The 17,039-nt window shown below is 40.2% G+C and overlaps 1 protein-coding gene and 1 long non-coding RNA gene across 3 annotated transcripts in view, besides 6 other annotated features; one reads left to right on the top strand and one right to left on the bottom strand.

The window, feature by feature from the left end:
• Positions 1–9,068, bottom strand: part of MRPS9 (mitochondrial ribosomal protein S9) — a 61,892-nt gene extending 52,824 nt beyond the window's left edge. For both annotated transcript variants that reach the window (NM_182640.3, XM_047445533.1), the window contains exon 1: positions 8,910–9,068. In NM_182640.3, the coding sequence (NP_872578.1) occupies positions 8,910–9,044 (135 nt within the window). In that variant the 5' untranslated portion in view covers positions 9,045–9,068. The remainder of the gene's footprint in view (positions 1–8,909) is intronic.
• Positions 8,086–9,028: an enhancer, noted in NCBI's record as "H3K27ac hESC enhancer chr2:105654567-105655509 (GRCh37/hg19 assembly coordinates)". NCBI's record gives its function as "activates a minimal SCP1, AML or CMV promoter by ChIP-STARR-seq in primed H9 embryonic stem cells {active_cell/tissue: H9 hESC(primed)}" and the evidence as "EXISTENCE:reporter gene assay evidence [ECO:0000049][PMID:30033119]".
• Positions 8,086–9,111: a biological region, named in NCBI's record as "H3K27ac hESC enhancer GRCh37_chr2:105654567-105655509".
• Positions 8,641–17,039, top strand: part of MRPS9-AS2 (MRPS9 antisense RNA 2) — a 102,256-nt gene continuing 93,857 nt past the window's right edge. The window contains exon 1 of the long non-coding RNA NR_110603.1: positions 8,641–8,683. This is a non-coding gene — a long non-coding RNA (MRPS9 antisense RNA 2). The remainder of the gene's footprint in view (positions 8,684–17,039) is intronic.
• Positions 8,782–9,111: an enhancer, noted in NCBI's record as "active region_16312". NCBI's record gives its function as "activates an Ori minimal core promoter by ATAC-STARR-seq in GM12878 lymphoblastoid cells {active_cell/tissue: GM12878}" and the evidence as "EXISTENCE:reporter gene assay evidence [ECO:0000049][PMID:35858748]".
• Positions 9,282–9,331: an enhancer, noted in NCBI's record as "active region_16311". NCBI's record gives its function as "activates an Ori minimal core promoter by ATAC-STARR-seq in GM12878 lymphoblastoid cells {active_cell/tissue: GM12878}" and the evidence as "EXISTENCE:reporter gene assay evidence [ECO:0000049][PMID:35858748]".
• Positions 9,382–9,431: an enhancer, noted in NCBI's record as "active region_16310". NCBI's record gives its function as "activates an Ori minimal core promoter by ATAC-STARR-seq in GM12878 lymphoblastoid cells {active_cell/tissue: GM12878}" and the evidence as "EXISTENCE:reporter gene assay evidence [ECO:0000049][PMID:35858748]".
• Positions 9,452–9,661: an enhancer, noted in NCBI's record as "active region_16309". NCBI's record gives its function as "activates an Ori minimal core promoter by ATAC-STARR-seq in GM12878 lymphoblastoid cells {active_cell/tissue: GM12878}" and the evidence as "EXISTENCE:reporter gene assay evidence [ECO:0000049][PMID:35858748]".

Here is a 17,039-nt window from a genome sequence, read left to right as displayed (position 1 = left end):
AATGCATGGTCCGCTCTTTTATAGACACAGCCTGTCTGTACACCCCTGCTCCCCTTGCCACAGCCCAGCGCCACCAGCACCAACTCCCTACCATAGTGGTTCCCATCTTAACGTTTTTACTGTTTTCCAGGGGATTTTAAAATTTGTTCTTTATGAGTCTACGTCTTCTTTGGGCAATGGAGAATGTTGCTTCACATATTCAAAGTGAAGAGAAATTATCTTTCTACCCCAAGAATCATAGCAAAGGTGTGATTTGGGGGCCAAAAAGTAGCAATCATATAGTAGATAATTCTCCCAAATGTTCCATTGCCAAAAGGATGATTACACTGCTGGTTTTTATAGATAACATGACAAAATGTTTTTGTTCACAGCTAAAACAACCCTAATACAGGTGAACCCACAAAGACTTTCTTTTAGGTCACTACAACCACACTCCCTGCCAATCACCAACCACAGCCCTCAGGAAATGTGCCTCCTGGAGCGTATGGCTCCTTTCACTGAAGGGATTCCAGAGGAGGAGCAAGATCAGGGAGGAAAGTGATGCGTTCAAATTTGAGAATGTGTGTGAGATGTTGATGGACATCCCAGGAAGACAGATGTCCAGGAGGCAGGTGGCTTTGTGGGTGTGAGCATGGACAGACCTGAGCTTCAGATACAGGTCTGTTAATCACCTGAGACATGATGTTGACACTTAAAAGAGAAGGAGAAAAAATGGCAAGCATTAGCGTTAGGACAAAAAACATGTCTTCTACTAGTAATGAAACAAATTGTTTGTAGGTGAGGGAAGGTAGGCAGAAAGGCAAGGTTACTTATGTCTTACACCCTCTATTTTCTCTATGAAATAGAAGATGGTCTGTCTGCTGAGAGCAAAAGGCGGTAGGTTTAACAGACTGAACACCTCATATTCAAAGAACTGTGATGCAGTGGTTGTAAAGTATAGACAGAAAAACTGTCAGAAAGAAATTAGAGATGTCTGGGTGCGGTGGCTCACGCCTGTAATTCTAGCACTTTGGGAGGCCAAGGCAGGTGGATCACTTGAGGTCAGGAGTTTGAGACCAGCCTGGCCAACATTGTGAGACCCCATCTCTACTAAAAATTACAAAAATTAGCAGGGCATGGTGGTGTGCGCCTGTAATACCAGTCATTCAGGAGGCTGAGGCAGGAGAATCGCTTGAACCGGGGAGCCGGAGGTTGCAGTTAGCCAAGATCGCACCACTGCACTCCAGCCTGGGCAACAGAGGGAGACTCTGTCTCCCAAAGAAATTAGAGAAAAAAATTTTAAGTATTCATTCATACTTAGAGGTAATTCTCATTACTAGTGAGCCAGGAGAATAATTCCAGACAGGAATCTATATCCATACAATGTCTGTAATCTTTTGTCAATTTTATTTCCCTATGGTTGGTTTCTTTTGTATGTTTCATCGGTATATTCAATGTGCTATTTAGTTCCAGAGAGTTACATCTTAGGGTAGATTGTACCGTTCAGCATTACAAAGTTTTCTACTCCTATGTAATATTTTTTTTCTTCAATTCTGTTGGGTCATAATATTGCAACCCTTTCAACCTCCTATTTACATTTCCCTGGAATATCACTGCCCATCTTTTTCATTTAAGTTTTAGACTATTTTTTTTAGGTTTTGTTTTTTTAACCCAATCTGAGATTTTAGTAGATGAGAATACCCAAGTTACATGGGGTTTAACAGCTATTCGGTCTTGTCATTCATCTTATTTAATCTTTACATTTTTTAATGCTTCCTTCCTATTTTCTTTCTTTTGCTATATGAAAAAAAAAAAAGAATTGGGTTTTCTTTTTTTTTTGGCTTTTGAGCTGGCAATTTGGACCATATACAGCTTGCTCTCATTTTACCAGTGACAATACATGTGTCTCTGAATAAAATGTTTAAATGTACTATCAACTTCAAAAATAAATATCCAATGAATTCTTACTGACTTATTCAGCTCTTTTTCAGCCACAGCAATTATCTGTTCTTCTGTTCTCCATAGTTTAGATCAGCTTCTCTTAGTCTTATTTCTTATCCCTTTTCTGCATTCTGTATGATTTTGAAATCTTTACTCCATGTTTTTTTCCCTCTTTCTACAGTGTCAATTCTGCTTACTGCAGCCACTATGAATTTTTAGCTTTTTATATCATTGGTCTATCCTCAAAATTCTTACCTCAACAGTTTCCTTTAATCATATCTTCTTGTCTTATCCCATCTCATAGAGCTCCTCCTCACTCAACTGATTTTTAAATGTCCTTGACAGTGTTAAGTAGCTGTGGTAAAATAATTCTTCCATTTTGTTAGGTAAATATCCCTTTGTATTTTCTTCAGCTGTCTCTTCCACACTGTTCCTTTTGCTCCTACAACATTTTAGCATCTTCTCAAGCAAAAGAGTCTCGATTATTGAAGACTTGGTTTTTCACTTGATTTAAAATTGTGTCTGCCTATAGTCTCCAGAGTTTGTGACATAAGGTGGTGGCTTTCCTACTTTTAACATAATTGAGGTTTAAACATATTTATAAACATTTTCATTGTTGTCCATTTAGAAAGGGCTTTAAAAAAATGGCCCTAATTTGCTATTTTTCATAAAAAGTCCTTAGGATCTTTTTCAAAGACATTTCTACACATTGCTTAAGAGTATGGCATTCTGGAAATTTATAATATTAAATTTACAAAGTTATCACAGCATCAGTAGCAGGATATTGAATATGTTTATTAAAAGTCCAGAATTATTCCAGCAATGAATTCACACAAAAATATTTACATTCAAAGGAGTCCATTATTCATTGGTACAATCCATTAAATAAGGTGAGGCTAAGAGTGTGAAAAAAACAGATCTTTAGCTAAAAACACCAAGAATTCTTGAAGGGAATTTGCTTTGCCACTGTTAAGAACAATTTGCAGCCAGGCGCAGTGGCTCATGCCTGTAATCCCAGCACTTTGGGAGGCCGAAGTGGGCGGATCAACTGTCAGGAGTTCGACACTAGCCTGGCCAACATGGTGAAACCCCATCTCTACTAAAAATACAAAAATTAGCTGGGCATGGTGTCAGGCACCTATAATCCCAGCTACTTGGGAGGCTGAGGCAGGAGACTCACTTGAACCCAGAAGGCGGAGGTTGCAGTGAGCCGAAATCACACCGCTGCACTCCAGCCTGGGCAACAGAGCAAGACTCCATCTTAGAAAAAAAAAAAAAAATTGCAGCCGGGCGTGGTGACTCACGCCTGTAATCCCAGCACTTCCGGAAGCCAAGGCAGGCCGATCACAAGCTCAGGAGTTTGAGACCAGCCTGGCCAACAAAGTGAAACCTTGTCACTACTAAAAATATAAAAATCAGCTGGGTGTGGTGGTGGGCACCTGTAATCCCAGCTACTTGGGAGGCTGAGGCAGGAGAACTGCTTGAACCCAGGAGGCGGAGGTTGCAGTGAGCCGAGATTGCACCACTGCACACTCCAGCCCGGGTGACAGAGCAAGACTCTTGTCTCAAAAAATAAAACATAAAAATAAATAAAAATTCTAAAAAAAAGGAAAGAAAAAAGAAAGGAAAGCAGGCAGGGTCCAAGGGATCTCTATCAGCTAAAAGTTATCCATGCAGGTTCAATCAGAATGTGTCCATTAAGACAAAACGGTATTCCAACTGTCCTGCCTCTATGCTCAGGATCTCAGGAGGAGGAACATCTGAGGATTACTTTGAGTCAGGTGCCCCAGATTATTCGGGACTATAGCTAGGTCTTCTCAACTATAACCAGCGAAAAAGAACTAATTCCTCCTGGGGAAACTGGGATACTACTATGAAGGGGAAACGGATACTATGTTAAACAAATAAGAAATCCACTTACTTAAACAAAATTTACCATTTACATTAATTCTATAATCTGTTATAAATTAAGACACTTAACATACTTACCAATCAAATAAAACGCATAAACCCTGTTTAACTCCCAATTAAAATAAACCAACTATATACAAAAAGCTACTGTTGGGACATTCAGGGAAATTTGAACATGAAATAGGTAATAGATGATAAGAAATTACTGTTCATTCTGTTAGATATGGCGGTGGCAAGGAATCTATTTTTTTAAAAAAACCTTTATGTTAGAGATGCATATTCAAGTACCTATAAGTAAAATAACAGAATGTCTGGGGTTTACATTAAATGACTCTGGGGGGTGGGAGGGGAGAAATAAAAACAAGACTGGGAAATTATTAATAATTGTTGAAGCTGGTTGATGGATCTGTGGAGTTCATTATATTATTCTATTTTTATATGCTTGGTTTTGCAGAATAAAATTCTAAAAATAAACTACTTTACAAGTTCATTTAACAAATCTGAGCAATTATTATAGACCAGGCTCTGTATTAAATGTTAACAGAAATAATTGTAAAGAAGAAATGAGTGATGTTAAAGTGAGAATGTTGCTATAATGAGATAAGAAAACAAAACATAGTAAAGATGCAGTTTTGTTTAAGCTAATAATCCTATCTGACAAAAAGAATGATACAGCAGGTGTTCAGATGTACCCACATGTGCACACACATAGGTACCCATATATGCCCACACATAAGAACCATAGAAGAAAGACCTAAATACATGAGAGAGACACTTAGATAACAAGAAAATAAGTATATGTGGGTCTTCCACTGTTGTAGGCAGCTTCCAAGATGGCTCCCAGTGAATCTGCCACCTGCTGTTCTTCTCTCTTGCTTACCTTTTCTTCATCAGCCTGAGGGAAGCCAGATGTGCTGAGTTGCCCTAGAGGCCCATGTGGCAGGAGCTGAGGGAGGGCTCTGGCCAACAGCCAGCAAGGACCTGGGGCCTTCAGCCCGACAGCCTGCAAGAATCTAAATCCTGCTAACTACAACACTGAGTGAGCCTAGAAGCAGACTCTCCCCACCCACAGTGGAGCCTTGAGATGACTGCAGCCCCGGCCAATACCTGGACTCTTGCCTTACCAGAGACCCTGAGCAAGAGGACCCAACAAAGTGTGCCTGGAGAACCCTGACCCACAGAAACTGTAGATAACAAATGTCTGTTGTTTAAGCTGCTAGGTTTTAGGATAATTTGTTATGTAGCAATAAATAACTGATACGTTCATCATCCTAATTACAATGAAGCATTGTACAAGAAAGTTTAGTTATCTTGTTTTACAAGGAAAAGAGAGGTGAGAATGATAGTAGCATTTATTATCAAGCTCTTATTATATAAGAAACATATAAATTGCCAAATAAAGACTGTAAATTTTAATGTAGAGGTATTTTTCCTAATTACAGCAATGAGGAACACACTCAATTCTATCCTTACAAGGACAGGATTAGATCTCAAAGGGAACAGTTTATCCTACCAAAGGGCTTTTCTGTTGCTAATAAACTGGGATTAAAAATAAATATATTCAAAAATTATCGGGGTAGGGCATAACTAATTTACAGAGCTGTACAGAGCATCTGATACAAATTCAAGTCAATTATACAATTTGTTTTTCAAAGCGTTTTTTAGCCATTTGTCAAAAAAAATGTATTAAGATCCTACTAAAGCAGATCAATAGAATGCTGTGATAAATACAGGATATTATAACCTCCAGAAGCATGAGAGATTAAAAAAAAAAAAACAGATACTTTAGACAGAGACAGGAATGTGTTTACAGTGGAAACCAAAATATAAAGGGCCAAGCCATTTAATGTCATTGATCACTTCTCTGGCAGATGGTCTAAATCAACAAAGGCATCTTGGCTTGGCAAAAACTGAATATTTAAGCACTAGGAAAGTGTTCAGTAGTAGAGAATAATTAAGAAAACACCCTATTAGTGTTTTGTAGAAATATTTTTCAAAATAGCAATTGGTCTTTTGTTTTTCCTTATTATAAAAATCACAAATATTATAGAAAACCAAATTAGCATTCCTATATTAGCTATATTGATAGAGGATTTATGAATTCATGGGTAACCTTTGTAGTACAGCATGGAAGGAAACTGTCAACTGCTCATAATAATGCTAACACTATTTTCATTTGTGAGAGGTAAAAAATTCAGCTACCTTAGCATAGCAAAACAGATCATACTGATTCCTGCCAAACTTTCCAGACCTGTCTCTGCACCATTCTCTCACCAAAACCCTATGCTATAACCAATTGTTGCTGACAAAGCCCACTATTACTCAGTACATCTCTATACCCTTATGCACCTATTATATCTTCCTTGAATAGAATAGCTTTCTGTTTTCATATAACTCCTATTTGCTGCTAAAGACGCTATTTTCCTTTGCCTCCTCTGGGAAGCTGCCCATGACAATCCTCTACCTGGTCAACAACTCTAGTCTGACTCAGGCATATTACTTCTGTGCTCTTCTGTATTTACCTCTGTAAATATCACAGTACACCATAGATCCCTGATATTCATGGATATACAATCTGAAAAGTTTGGCCATTCATAAGACTGCCTCTTCTGCCCCAAATTTGGGACACTCAGACATTTGCAATTGTATTGAGGCATTAATACAAAACATGCATACCACAAGATTGCTATGCAAGAGGTAGTCTGCTAGTGAAGGTCTCAACTGAGAACCTAGGAATAGCTTAACAAAACTCGCTTCTTTTTCCTTATTGTAACAGTGTTTCTCAAACTTGTTAAACTGTGACCCATTGTAATATTTACTGTTTATATCACCACCTAGTATACATTTACATATATAAACAAAATGCAAAAATACTCTGCATGAAATGCACTTTATTATTATTCTATTCTCCCACACCCTTCAAGTTTTCTGTAACCTCTGAAGAGATTTTGTAATTAAGGAAATTAAAAGTGGAACAAACAAAAGACCAGGTATAGTGTTTTGTCACTCATTAAGTGATTAAAATTTTTATTATTTTATAAAACATGGGCTACCAAGAGAAATCTATCTATTAATGTTGGAGGCAGAAGTGAAAAAATGTTAATGTTTAAGACAGATAAGCTCTGCACCACGATAAAAAAAAAAGCTTTATCAATGTCTTTAGGTATATGTATGCAATCATAAGAATCTAAAGGGGGGTCAGCTAAGTGTTTCAGTTATATCTGAGCTGTACTTAATGTGGTAAAATATATGCTGTAGTAGTATTCAGGAATCTGGGGATTCAGCCATTTCAGGACCATCCCTTAAGAGTGCTAAGGGTGGATACTATCTTGTAATTGTTTGACTTTAAATTGTTTACTTCACAGTGCCTGGCTCAGGTAAAGTGCTCAGTAAACATTTGCCATATGGGGGAAAGAGGTTGTTTCAAGAATGGTCAAGGAGATGAAAATTAAAGTAACAGGAGAAATCATTCTTCATCCATTTTACTAAACCAGTACTTAAGAACTAGACCAGATGTTTACTGAAACTTTATTAGTGCAAAGAAAGTAGAAACAAAGCAAATGTCCATCAATTGTTACATTAACTTTGATATATTCTTATCATGGAATAGTATGCAGCAGTTAAAAATGCTTTTAAAAACATAATAGGGGACCCTGAAGGATTTCTACTTTACAATATACTGCATATGTACAAGAGAAAAGCAGAAAGTAAAATGCAATCAAATATGGTACCATTTTTTGTAAAGTACACCTGTGCATGTATGTTTATGCATGATTATAAGAACATGGAAAAAACATAGAAGAATAGATACCAGGAGGGACAGAAAGTTAGCCATCCCCCAATACATACATTAAATGTCAACAATAAAAATACTCTGTATGATATAGTCCCTCTCATAATCATGCGTATGTAGCAAAGATATACTCAAAGAGATGCATGAAAAAATAAAAATTTCTAGCACATTTTCCAGTAAGAAAAAAAAAAAAAACAAATGTCCACATGAATAGATAGAATGGACTGGTTGATCTAGATTAAAATATAAAGGAAAGAACATACAAAAAGATGTTTTTTTTTTTAAATATAGTTTTTAAAGTATGGTATTTGACTTTCCTGCAATAATTGGTACTTGTTATCACTCTCCCTCCTTGAAACATTCACCTGTTTTCCATGACACCACACTGGCTGGTTTCTCTCCTGCTTCTTTGGTCCCTCATTCTCAATCTCTTGAGGCCTCTTATTTCTTATTTGTCCTTCAGGGCCCTGTCCCTCTGCCTACTCCTCAGTACACTCTCCCTAGGTAATTTAATTTGTTTACAAGGCCTCAGTTACCATTTACAAGGTAACAGGGCATTTCGAAATCAGTTCTCCTCCTGAGCTATACACTTGACTATCCGTAGACCTACTGGAAATCCCAGATGCCTAAAAACATAATCCCATACTAAACTCGTTTCTTCCCTCTCAAATCTTTTTCCTGCTCTGAGATCGCATGTCAGTAAACTGGCATCATCAGCCATCCAGCTGTTGACTCCCCACTTCTCCCTGGATTAAACGAAACGTACAAGTTCTGGCCTGCATCTTTCCATAGAGGGGGATTCGGGAAAATTAAGAAGCCAGAAATTGCGCATATTGAAGGCACTTTCAAAAAGTCACTGTCCTCTACACAACGTGACTTTCTCCATTGTCTTCCAGGCACCTGCAGGAATCCAATTCCCATCATTCTTCTCTGGCGCGGCCCTCCTCCTCCCTAGACAGCAGGGCAGGGTAGGACTGGACCCAACACAGACCTAGGCACCGACCCTTACTTAGCTCAGCAGCCAAATGAAGGAGGAGGTCGCTCCACTTCTACCTTCAGGTAAGTTCCCCTCGCTGCACCCCGCAAAAAAACAAGTAACAACCTCTAGAGCGGCTACTGCACGCCAATACCCACCTCCTCCCCCCCAACCTCAGACCTCCACTAAATACCTAAGATCCTAGAGTCCCTGCCTGAAGGCACGCGAGACGCTGGGGGAAGGTGTCCGCGCTGGCTCCACATCCTCGCGCGGCAGAGGTAAGCCGCTTCCAGTCTTCCCAGGCCTTACCTGGGATCTGACATTTGTTTGCAACTCAGGGGCCGCGGTTTTCCAGAGGCCTTGCTTCCGGGCGAGGCTACCCCTACCCCAGAGAAGAAGCCGGTACGAAACTGCTCCGCCGTAGGACACACAGGGCGCCGCCATGTTAGCTGTGGGAGCTCCAGGACCGGAGGGGTGAGGGGGCGGGGCCTAGAGACGGCGCAGGCGCTAATGGCGCGGGGTTCCAGAGGCTGTCCTGTGCAAGAGCTTCTCGGGCCTTTGGATCAGGGGGCGTGTCCCGCGATCCGCGACAGCTCGTCGCTGATTGGGTGCATGGTGTCCGCGGGGCGTATCCGACTCCACCCCTGCTCGGTGTCGACCTCAAGAAGGATCGCTGGTGGGTCGTTTTTCTCGGCCTCTTTCTCTTCACGTCCTGAACTCAGTCTCTTCGGGACTCACTTCCACGCTCTCCTAGTCTCTTTGGCACTCACATCCACGTGGCGCTTTAGCCAGCCCTTCCTTCCCAGCCCCCTTGCTGCACCTCGAGCCGGCTCTTCCTCCACCTGGGCAGGGCGGCCGGGGCCCCAGATGCGCTCCAAGCCTTGATTCCTGTCTGCCTTATCCTAGTAGGGGTTTTCCCCTCCTCTAACTTTCCACGTTCGTCTGGTTCCAAGTCAAGACTCTCCTGCAGCAACTGTCAAGCCCCTCTCGGTTCCCTGGCACTCTCCTGCGTTGTTTCTTAACTGTATAATGCACAGGATAAACCTTAAACCGGTAAGGTCAAACACTACCTTTCTCGTTTTTGCACGCCCCTCCCTAAGCGTTGGTACTAAGCCTTACTTGAAACCCAATCAGAACTGATTAATTGTTGAATAGAGATGAGTATGTCTTGCTTTCTGAAACTTGCGTGCTCCTGGCAGTTAACTCCCAGGTTGCTTTCTACGAAACACATACTAAATGATGTAGTAACGCACTTTAAAAGGGTTTACACACACTTAGATTTGAAGGGTCAGTAAAAGTAAAACACACAGAAAATCTGAGATCATACAAAGTTGTCAAGCAAATAAATGCCGTCTACTATCACCATCATTTCACGAAACAGAACTTTTTAGCATTAAAAAGGTAGAATGGCAGAATTTCACAATAAAGAAAAATCTTTTAAATGGAATACATTTACTTGTATAAAATGCTCATCCTGTTGTTCTTTTTGTTATTAGCTTTTAGACTAGCAAAAGATATCTTGAGAAATTGGCAGAGGTCGGAGGACTAAACTCTGATTTTTTTATCTTGCCCAAGATTCCTATCTACAGGATTTGGGGAGTCATGCCCTACAAATCATAAATTCTTATTAGATGGGTTTTACTTAACCCTATATATGGTGACTTACTTTCCAACCTGACTCTGGCATAACATTACAAGACAAGGAAGAAAATCAAAATATTTTACCCCAAAACATGTTTCTTTGCCATATCTTGAAATGGCCCTGCAAAGCTGTCCTTGGAGGGGTGGGATATGCATCTGTAAAGAATCTGTATTAACATAGCTAGATCTTTTTCTTCCAGACCCTCCCAATCCTAAAGAGATTAACTAAGATCTGAATAGGAAACATTTGTCATCCATTGTCTCTAAGGGCAGCCACTGTAAGACTTACAGAGAACTTTGGTCTCCACAATCTTTATCTTAAACTGAACATTCCCTTTCTATCAGTCCCAGGTCTTTCTGGACCAAACCAATGTATTTCTTAAATGTGTTTGATTGATGTCTCATGCCTCCCTAAAATGTATAAAATCAAGTTGCGCCCTGACCACCTTGGGCACAAATTCTCAGGACCTGCTGAGGACTGTGTCATGGGCCATGATCACTCATATTTGTCTCAGAATAAATCTCTTCAAAATATTTTACAGAGTTCGACTCTTTTTGTCAACGGATGGATAAACTAGCATTTGGGAATCAAGACTTTATTTATTTATTTATTTTATTTATTTTGAGATGGAAGTTCGCTCTTGTCGTCCAGGCTGCAGTGCAGTGATGTGATCTCGGCTCACTGCACCTTCTGCCTCCCGGGTTCAAGCGATTCTCCTGCCTCAGCCTCCCGAGTAGCTGGGATTATAGGTGCCCACCACCATGCCCAGCTAATTTTTGTGTTTTTAGTAGAGACAGGGTTTCGCCGTGTTGGCCAGGCTGGTCTTGAACTCCTGACCTCAGGTGATCTGCCCGCCTTGGTCTCCCAAAGTGCTAGGATTACAGACGTGAGCCACCGCTTGCAGCAGAGAACCAAGACTTTATAGCTCATTAAAATAGATGTCTTTAAACAGCAGTTCCTACACATTGTGAGATTATTTAAAAATTTTTTAAAATCTTAATTGTGGAAATTTAACCAAGTAGAAAACAGTGAGTATGTGGAAGCAGGATTTATACTATTAAAAAATTATTGATATTGGACCATATAAGAACTAAGTACTAAAATTAAGGTTAGGAGTGGTGGAGATTTTTCCCTTTTTTGAAATTCATGTCACAGTCCTTTACTAGCATGCAGTCATGCACTGCATTATGCAGTTTCGGTCAACAGTGACCTTCACATAAGACAGTGGTCCCATAAAATTATAATAGAGCTAAAAAGTTCCTATCTCCTAATGACCTTATAGCCATCAAGACATCATAGTAAGGGAGGATACCACCCCTCATATTGTCTTATGCCCCATTTCTCCCTCCAAAGAAAGAAGTACAAACTAAAAGGCAGAAATGGAATCCACAGGGAGATAGCCCAGCACTGGGCCCTGGGCCTGGTAGTTAAAAATCAACCCCTGACCTAACTGCTTGTGTTATCTGTAGATTTCAAACATTGTATGGAAAAGCATTGTGAAAATCCCTGTCCTGTTATGTTCCATTCTGATTACCAGTGCATGCAGCCCCCACTCAGGTACCCCCTGCTTGCTCAATCGATCATGACCCTCTGATATGGATCCCCTTAGAGTTGTAAGCCCTTAAAAGGGACAGAAATTGCTCGCTTGGGGAGCTTGGTTTTTGGAGACGTGAGTCTGCCAATGCTCCCAGCTGAATAAAGCCCTTTCCTTCTACAACTCGGTGTCTGAGGGGTTGTTGTCTGCGGCTCATCCTGCTACAATAGTACAACGCATTGCTTACCCATTTGTCGCGATGATAGTGTAAACAAATCTATGCACTGCCAGTCCTATTAAAGGACATACAATTATGTATAATACATAATACATGATAATGAACTATGTTACTGGTTTATTTATTTACCAGGCTATACCTCATAGTTTTTATTGTTAATTTGGAGTCTACTGCTTCTACTTATAAAAAGAAAAAGTTAACTGTAAAACAAACTCAGGTAGATCCTTCAGGAGATATTCCAGAAGGCATTATTGTCATAGGAGCTCCATACGTCTTATTGCTCCTGAAGACCTTCCAGTGGGACACACTGTGGAGGTAAAAGATAGTGATGTTGGTGATCCTGACCCTGTATAGGATAATGTGTGTGTTTGTGTCTTTGTTTTTAACAGACATGTTTAACAAGCTAAAAAAAAATTAAAGAATGAAAAAGTCTTATAGAATAAGGAATAAGAAAACGAATATAAAGAAAGAAAATGCTTTTGTACACCTGTACAGTGTGCTTATGTTTTAAGCTAAGTATTATTACAAAAGAGTTAAAAACTTTAAAAATATCAAAAAGTTTATAAAGTTAAAATAAGCTAAGGTGAATTTCTTATTGAAGAAAGGTAATTTTTTAATAAATTTATTGTAGCCTAAGTGTATTGTGTTTGTAAAGTCTACAGTAGTAAACAGTAATGTTCTAGGCCCTCACATTCACTTACCACTCACTCACTGACTCACCCAGACCAACTTACAGCCCTGCAAGCTCTGTCCATGGTAAGTGTCCTATGCAAATGTACCATTTTTACCTTTTATACAGTATTTTTACTGTACCTTTTCTATGTTTAGATACACATTTACTTACCATTGAGTTACAGCTGCCTACAATATTCCGGTAACATGCTGTGCAGATTTGTAGCCTGGGAACAATAGGCTGTACCATACAGCCAAGATGTATAGAAGGCTACACCACTGAGATTTGTGTGGCTACACTCAATGATGTTTGCACAGTGACAAAATCACCTAATGACACATTTCTCAGAATGCATGATCGTACAGTAAAGCAAACGTAGTATATTTTCCACCTCTGGGAGCAATACTTGTACTCCTGCATTAAATTTCCTGTGTAACCTTTGAATTTGGGAACAAATGCACTGCTATGTGTTCACATTAGGTTCATAATTTGGAGACATAGGAAAGATTGAAGTGTGCTGATTAATCTTTAAAATATGAAAAAAGGGGGCCAGGCGTGGTGGCTCATGCCTGTAATCCCAGCACTTTGGGAGGCTGAGGCAGGTGGATCACCTGAGGTCAGGAGATCAAGACCAGCCTGGGCAACATGGTGAAACCCCGTCTCTACTACAAATACAAAAATTAGCTGGGAGCGGTGGCACATACTTGTAATCCCAGCTTCTCAGGAGACTGAGGCAGGAGAATCACTTGAGCCCGGGAGGCGGAGGTTGCAGAGAGCCGAGATCGCACCACTGCACTCCAGCCTGGACGACAGAGCGAGACTCTGTCTCAAAAAAAAAAGAAAGAAAAGAAAAAAAATGTACTTTACCAAATGGCTAAAGCTTAGATTCTTTTCGTTTTGTTCTCACTTATGGAGCACCTATTGTAGGCATCGGGAATCCTAGGTCCTAAAAATCCAATATAGTGGGGTCATGTCTAATGTGAGGGTTTTGTTCTAAAGTCAGCTTGTTAAATGAACATCAGGAAAATCAAAATGTTGTACTAACACCAAGTGTTGTTGAGATGTGGGGTAGCAGGAGCTATTAGATGCTGCTGATACTAGTGTAAATTGGTACAACTCTCATGAAATCAACCACATAACTAGTAACCTATTCAACTTAAGATGAGCACACCCAACAATTCATCGATTACATTCCTAGATATATACCCTGCAGAAGGTCTTGCACAGTGCATCAGGAGACATGTATTAGGATGTTCATAGCAATATTTTTTTTTGGTAACAACAAAAATAACTTGTCTGTTGATAGGAGGATGGATGGATAAAGGAGCACCATACAGCAATGGCAATGAATGAACCTTAACTATACATATGAATATGGTTGAGGTAGAGCAAAAGATAGGAAGTCACATATGCATAGCCACAGTAGGATTCCATTTACAAAAAATAGGCAAAACTAAGCAAGATATTGTTTAAGGGTTTATCCCTACATAGTAAAACTGTAAAGAAAAGCAAGACAATGATAAACACAAAATCCAGGGTAGTAAATACCTCTGGGAGAAGGGAGAAGAATGCCTCCAGAAGGGTACAGGAGGTGCCAATGTTTTTTATCTTTAGATGACGGGTGGATGCATAAGTGTGCAACTTACCATTATTCTTGAAATGCTACATACTTGTTTTATATACTTCTGACAGGAAGAGTTGTTTTTCACCTTGCATCTGTCTCTGACTCACACTGAAAGGTATGGCAGGCTGTGGCACCAATGTAAATTGGCACAATTGTAATTTCTTTCTCCTGTGTTCCTCATACCTTATTTCCTTATTCCTGTCTCCTTTATCACCTCTTCCCCATCCTCCTCCCCTCTTCCTACCTAGTGAGCATAGCTAAATGATGTAGTCCTCAAAAAAATTGATATGCCCTTGCTCTGCCCTGCATTACAGGATTCCTGAAAAGTGTCCCTGGAGCTGCAGAACTTTGGGGATCAATACAAAAATCTAAGCTTAGGAAAAAAACACAAAGACTTACTGGTTTCCACAGACAAGTGAGATCTTCAGAGAACATTGGGTCAAAGATTACCAAACACTGAGTGGTTTATGAAAAGTGCCTTAAATGTGGACCAAGAAATAAGGGTTCTCATCTGACCCTGCCACAGAATCACTCTGACATTTGCATGTCATTTAGCTTAGAGGAACCCTACATTTCTCACCAGTGTAATCAGGGAGTTAGATTAGACCAGTGATTCTCAAAGGGTGGTTCCCAGAGCAGGAGCATCAGCATTACCTGGTTAAACTGTGTCCAACAAAAAGATGGTAGAGTCCCACCTGCTATACCTCCTAATGTGACTTGACTTGGACATAAGGTCTTTACAGAAATAATTATGTTATATAGAGTGATTAGGATGAGCCCTAATTCAATAGGACACATCCTTACAAAAAAGGAAATTTGGGCACAAAGTCAAACACATAGAGAGGGAAAGCAATGTGAAGATACAGGAAAAAGATGGCCAACCTCAAGCAAAGAATCACTCAAGGCTACCATAAGCTGGGAAAGAGACCTGGAACAGATTCTCTCTCACAGGCCTCACGGGAAATCTATCCTGTTGATATCTTGATCTTGGCTCTCTAGCCTCTAGAAATGTGAGACAATAAATCTCTGTTGTTTAAACCATTTAGTGTATGGTACTTTGTTACAGCAGACTCAGGAATACATCTAGTGTATGGGCTTTAAAAGTCCACTGACAGAGCAGGATCATTGCCATCTTCGACAAGCACGGCCATTTTAAAGTTCCACTTGATCAAAAACCACCTAAATCCAACCCAAAGGGCATCAGTCTAATAGCTAATGTGAGCATGACCATAAACCACAAATGACATCTCCAACCAGAAACATTCCAACCCTAAAATAAACCCCTCCCCGACCAGAGACATGCCAGCCCTGAAATAACCTCCCCTCCAGTCGGAGAGATGTCAGCTCCAAGATAACCTCCCCTCCGACCAGAGACATTCCAACCCCACAATAAACTTCTCCTCCACACAGCAACATTCCAACCTGTGATAAGCTCTCTGCCTGAACCCTTAAATACATTTAGTCTGTAAGAGAGAGTATGCCTGATCAAAACTGGCGAGAAGCCCCTCTCAGGTTTATTCTCCAGAATAAACCTGTCTTTGACTGTTGAGCCACTTTTCCTCTGTCTTTAACTCTTACATCCACCAATTTCTTTGATATTTCTCTCTTCAAAAGGTAGAACCTTTTTTCCTGAGCATGAGCTGAATTTAACAACCTGTCTCTGAAAAACAGAAGAAAGTGGAAGTCTTGGTGTATAACTTTGGATACTAGTCACAAAAAGTTCTGTGGCTTCCTGCTTGCTCTCTTTCTCTGCTGAAGGAACTACTCTGGGAGAACTCAGATGTCATGCCCGAGACAGCCCTATGAGAGGCCTACCTAGTGAGGATTCAAACCTTTTGCTGACAGCCATGTCAATAAGCCATCTCGGAAGTGGGTCCCCCAGCCACAGATTTCTGTGACTGCAGCCTCTGTCAACATCTTGCTTGCCACCTTGTGAGAGATCCTGAGCCAGAACCACTGATTTCAGGCACTTGGACCACAGAAACTGTGAGATAATTAACATTGTTTTAAGCCACTGTATTAGGCTGTTCTTGCATTGCTATAAAGAAATACCTGAGACTGAGTAATTTATAAAGAAAAGAAGCCTAATTGGCTCATGGTTCCTCAGGTTGTACAGGAAGCATGATGCTGGCATCTGCTTGGCTTCTGGGGAGGCCTCAGAAAACTGAGAATCATGGCAGAAGGTGAAGGCGGAACAGACACCCAGAGCAGGAGGAAGACAGAGAGTAGGAAGATGCCACACACGTTTAAACCGCCAGATCTCCTGAGAACTCACTCGCTATTGTGAGAACAGTACCAAGTTCATGGTCCTAAACCATTTGTGAGAAATCTGTTCTCATGATCCAGTCGCCTTTTACCAGGCCCACTTCCAACATTGGAGATAACAATGCAACATGAGATTTGGGCAGGGACGGACACAGATCTGAACCATGTCAGCCTCTAAAATGTGGGACAATTTGTTATGCAGCAATAGATAACTTGTATACCTGGGAACTTGTTAGCAATGCAAATTTTTGGGTCACTATAAAAACATATTGTTTCTGGATGTGAGACCCAGCACAAAGCCCTTTGAATAATTCAAGATTCTTATTTTGGTTTGTTTGTTTTAGTTTACAATATTTAATTTATTAATAGGTCAGATTTCATTATATTTAATTCACTGGCAATGTTCTTTTCCATCTTGTTCATCTGGCAGATTCCTGTACACTTTTTATTATTATTACTGTGA

The sequence above is a fragment of the Homo sapiens genome, chromosome 2, assembly GCF_000001405.40.
Source record: "Homo sapiens chromosome 2, GRCh38.p14 Primary Assembly".
In the NCBI taxonomy this organism is placed as follows: domain Eukaryota; kingdom Metazoa; phylum Chordata; class Mammalia; order Primates; family Hominidae; genus Homo; species Homo sapiens.
This window is presented reverse-complemented; position numbering and strand designations above follow the sequence as displayed.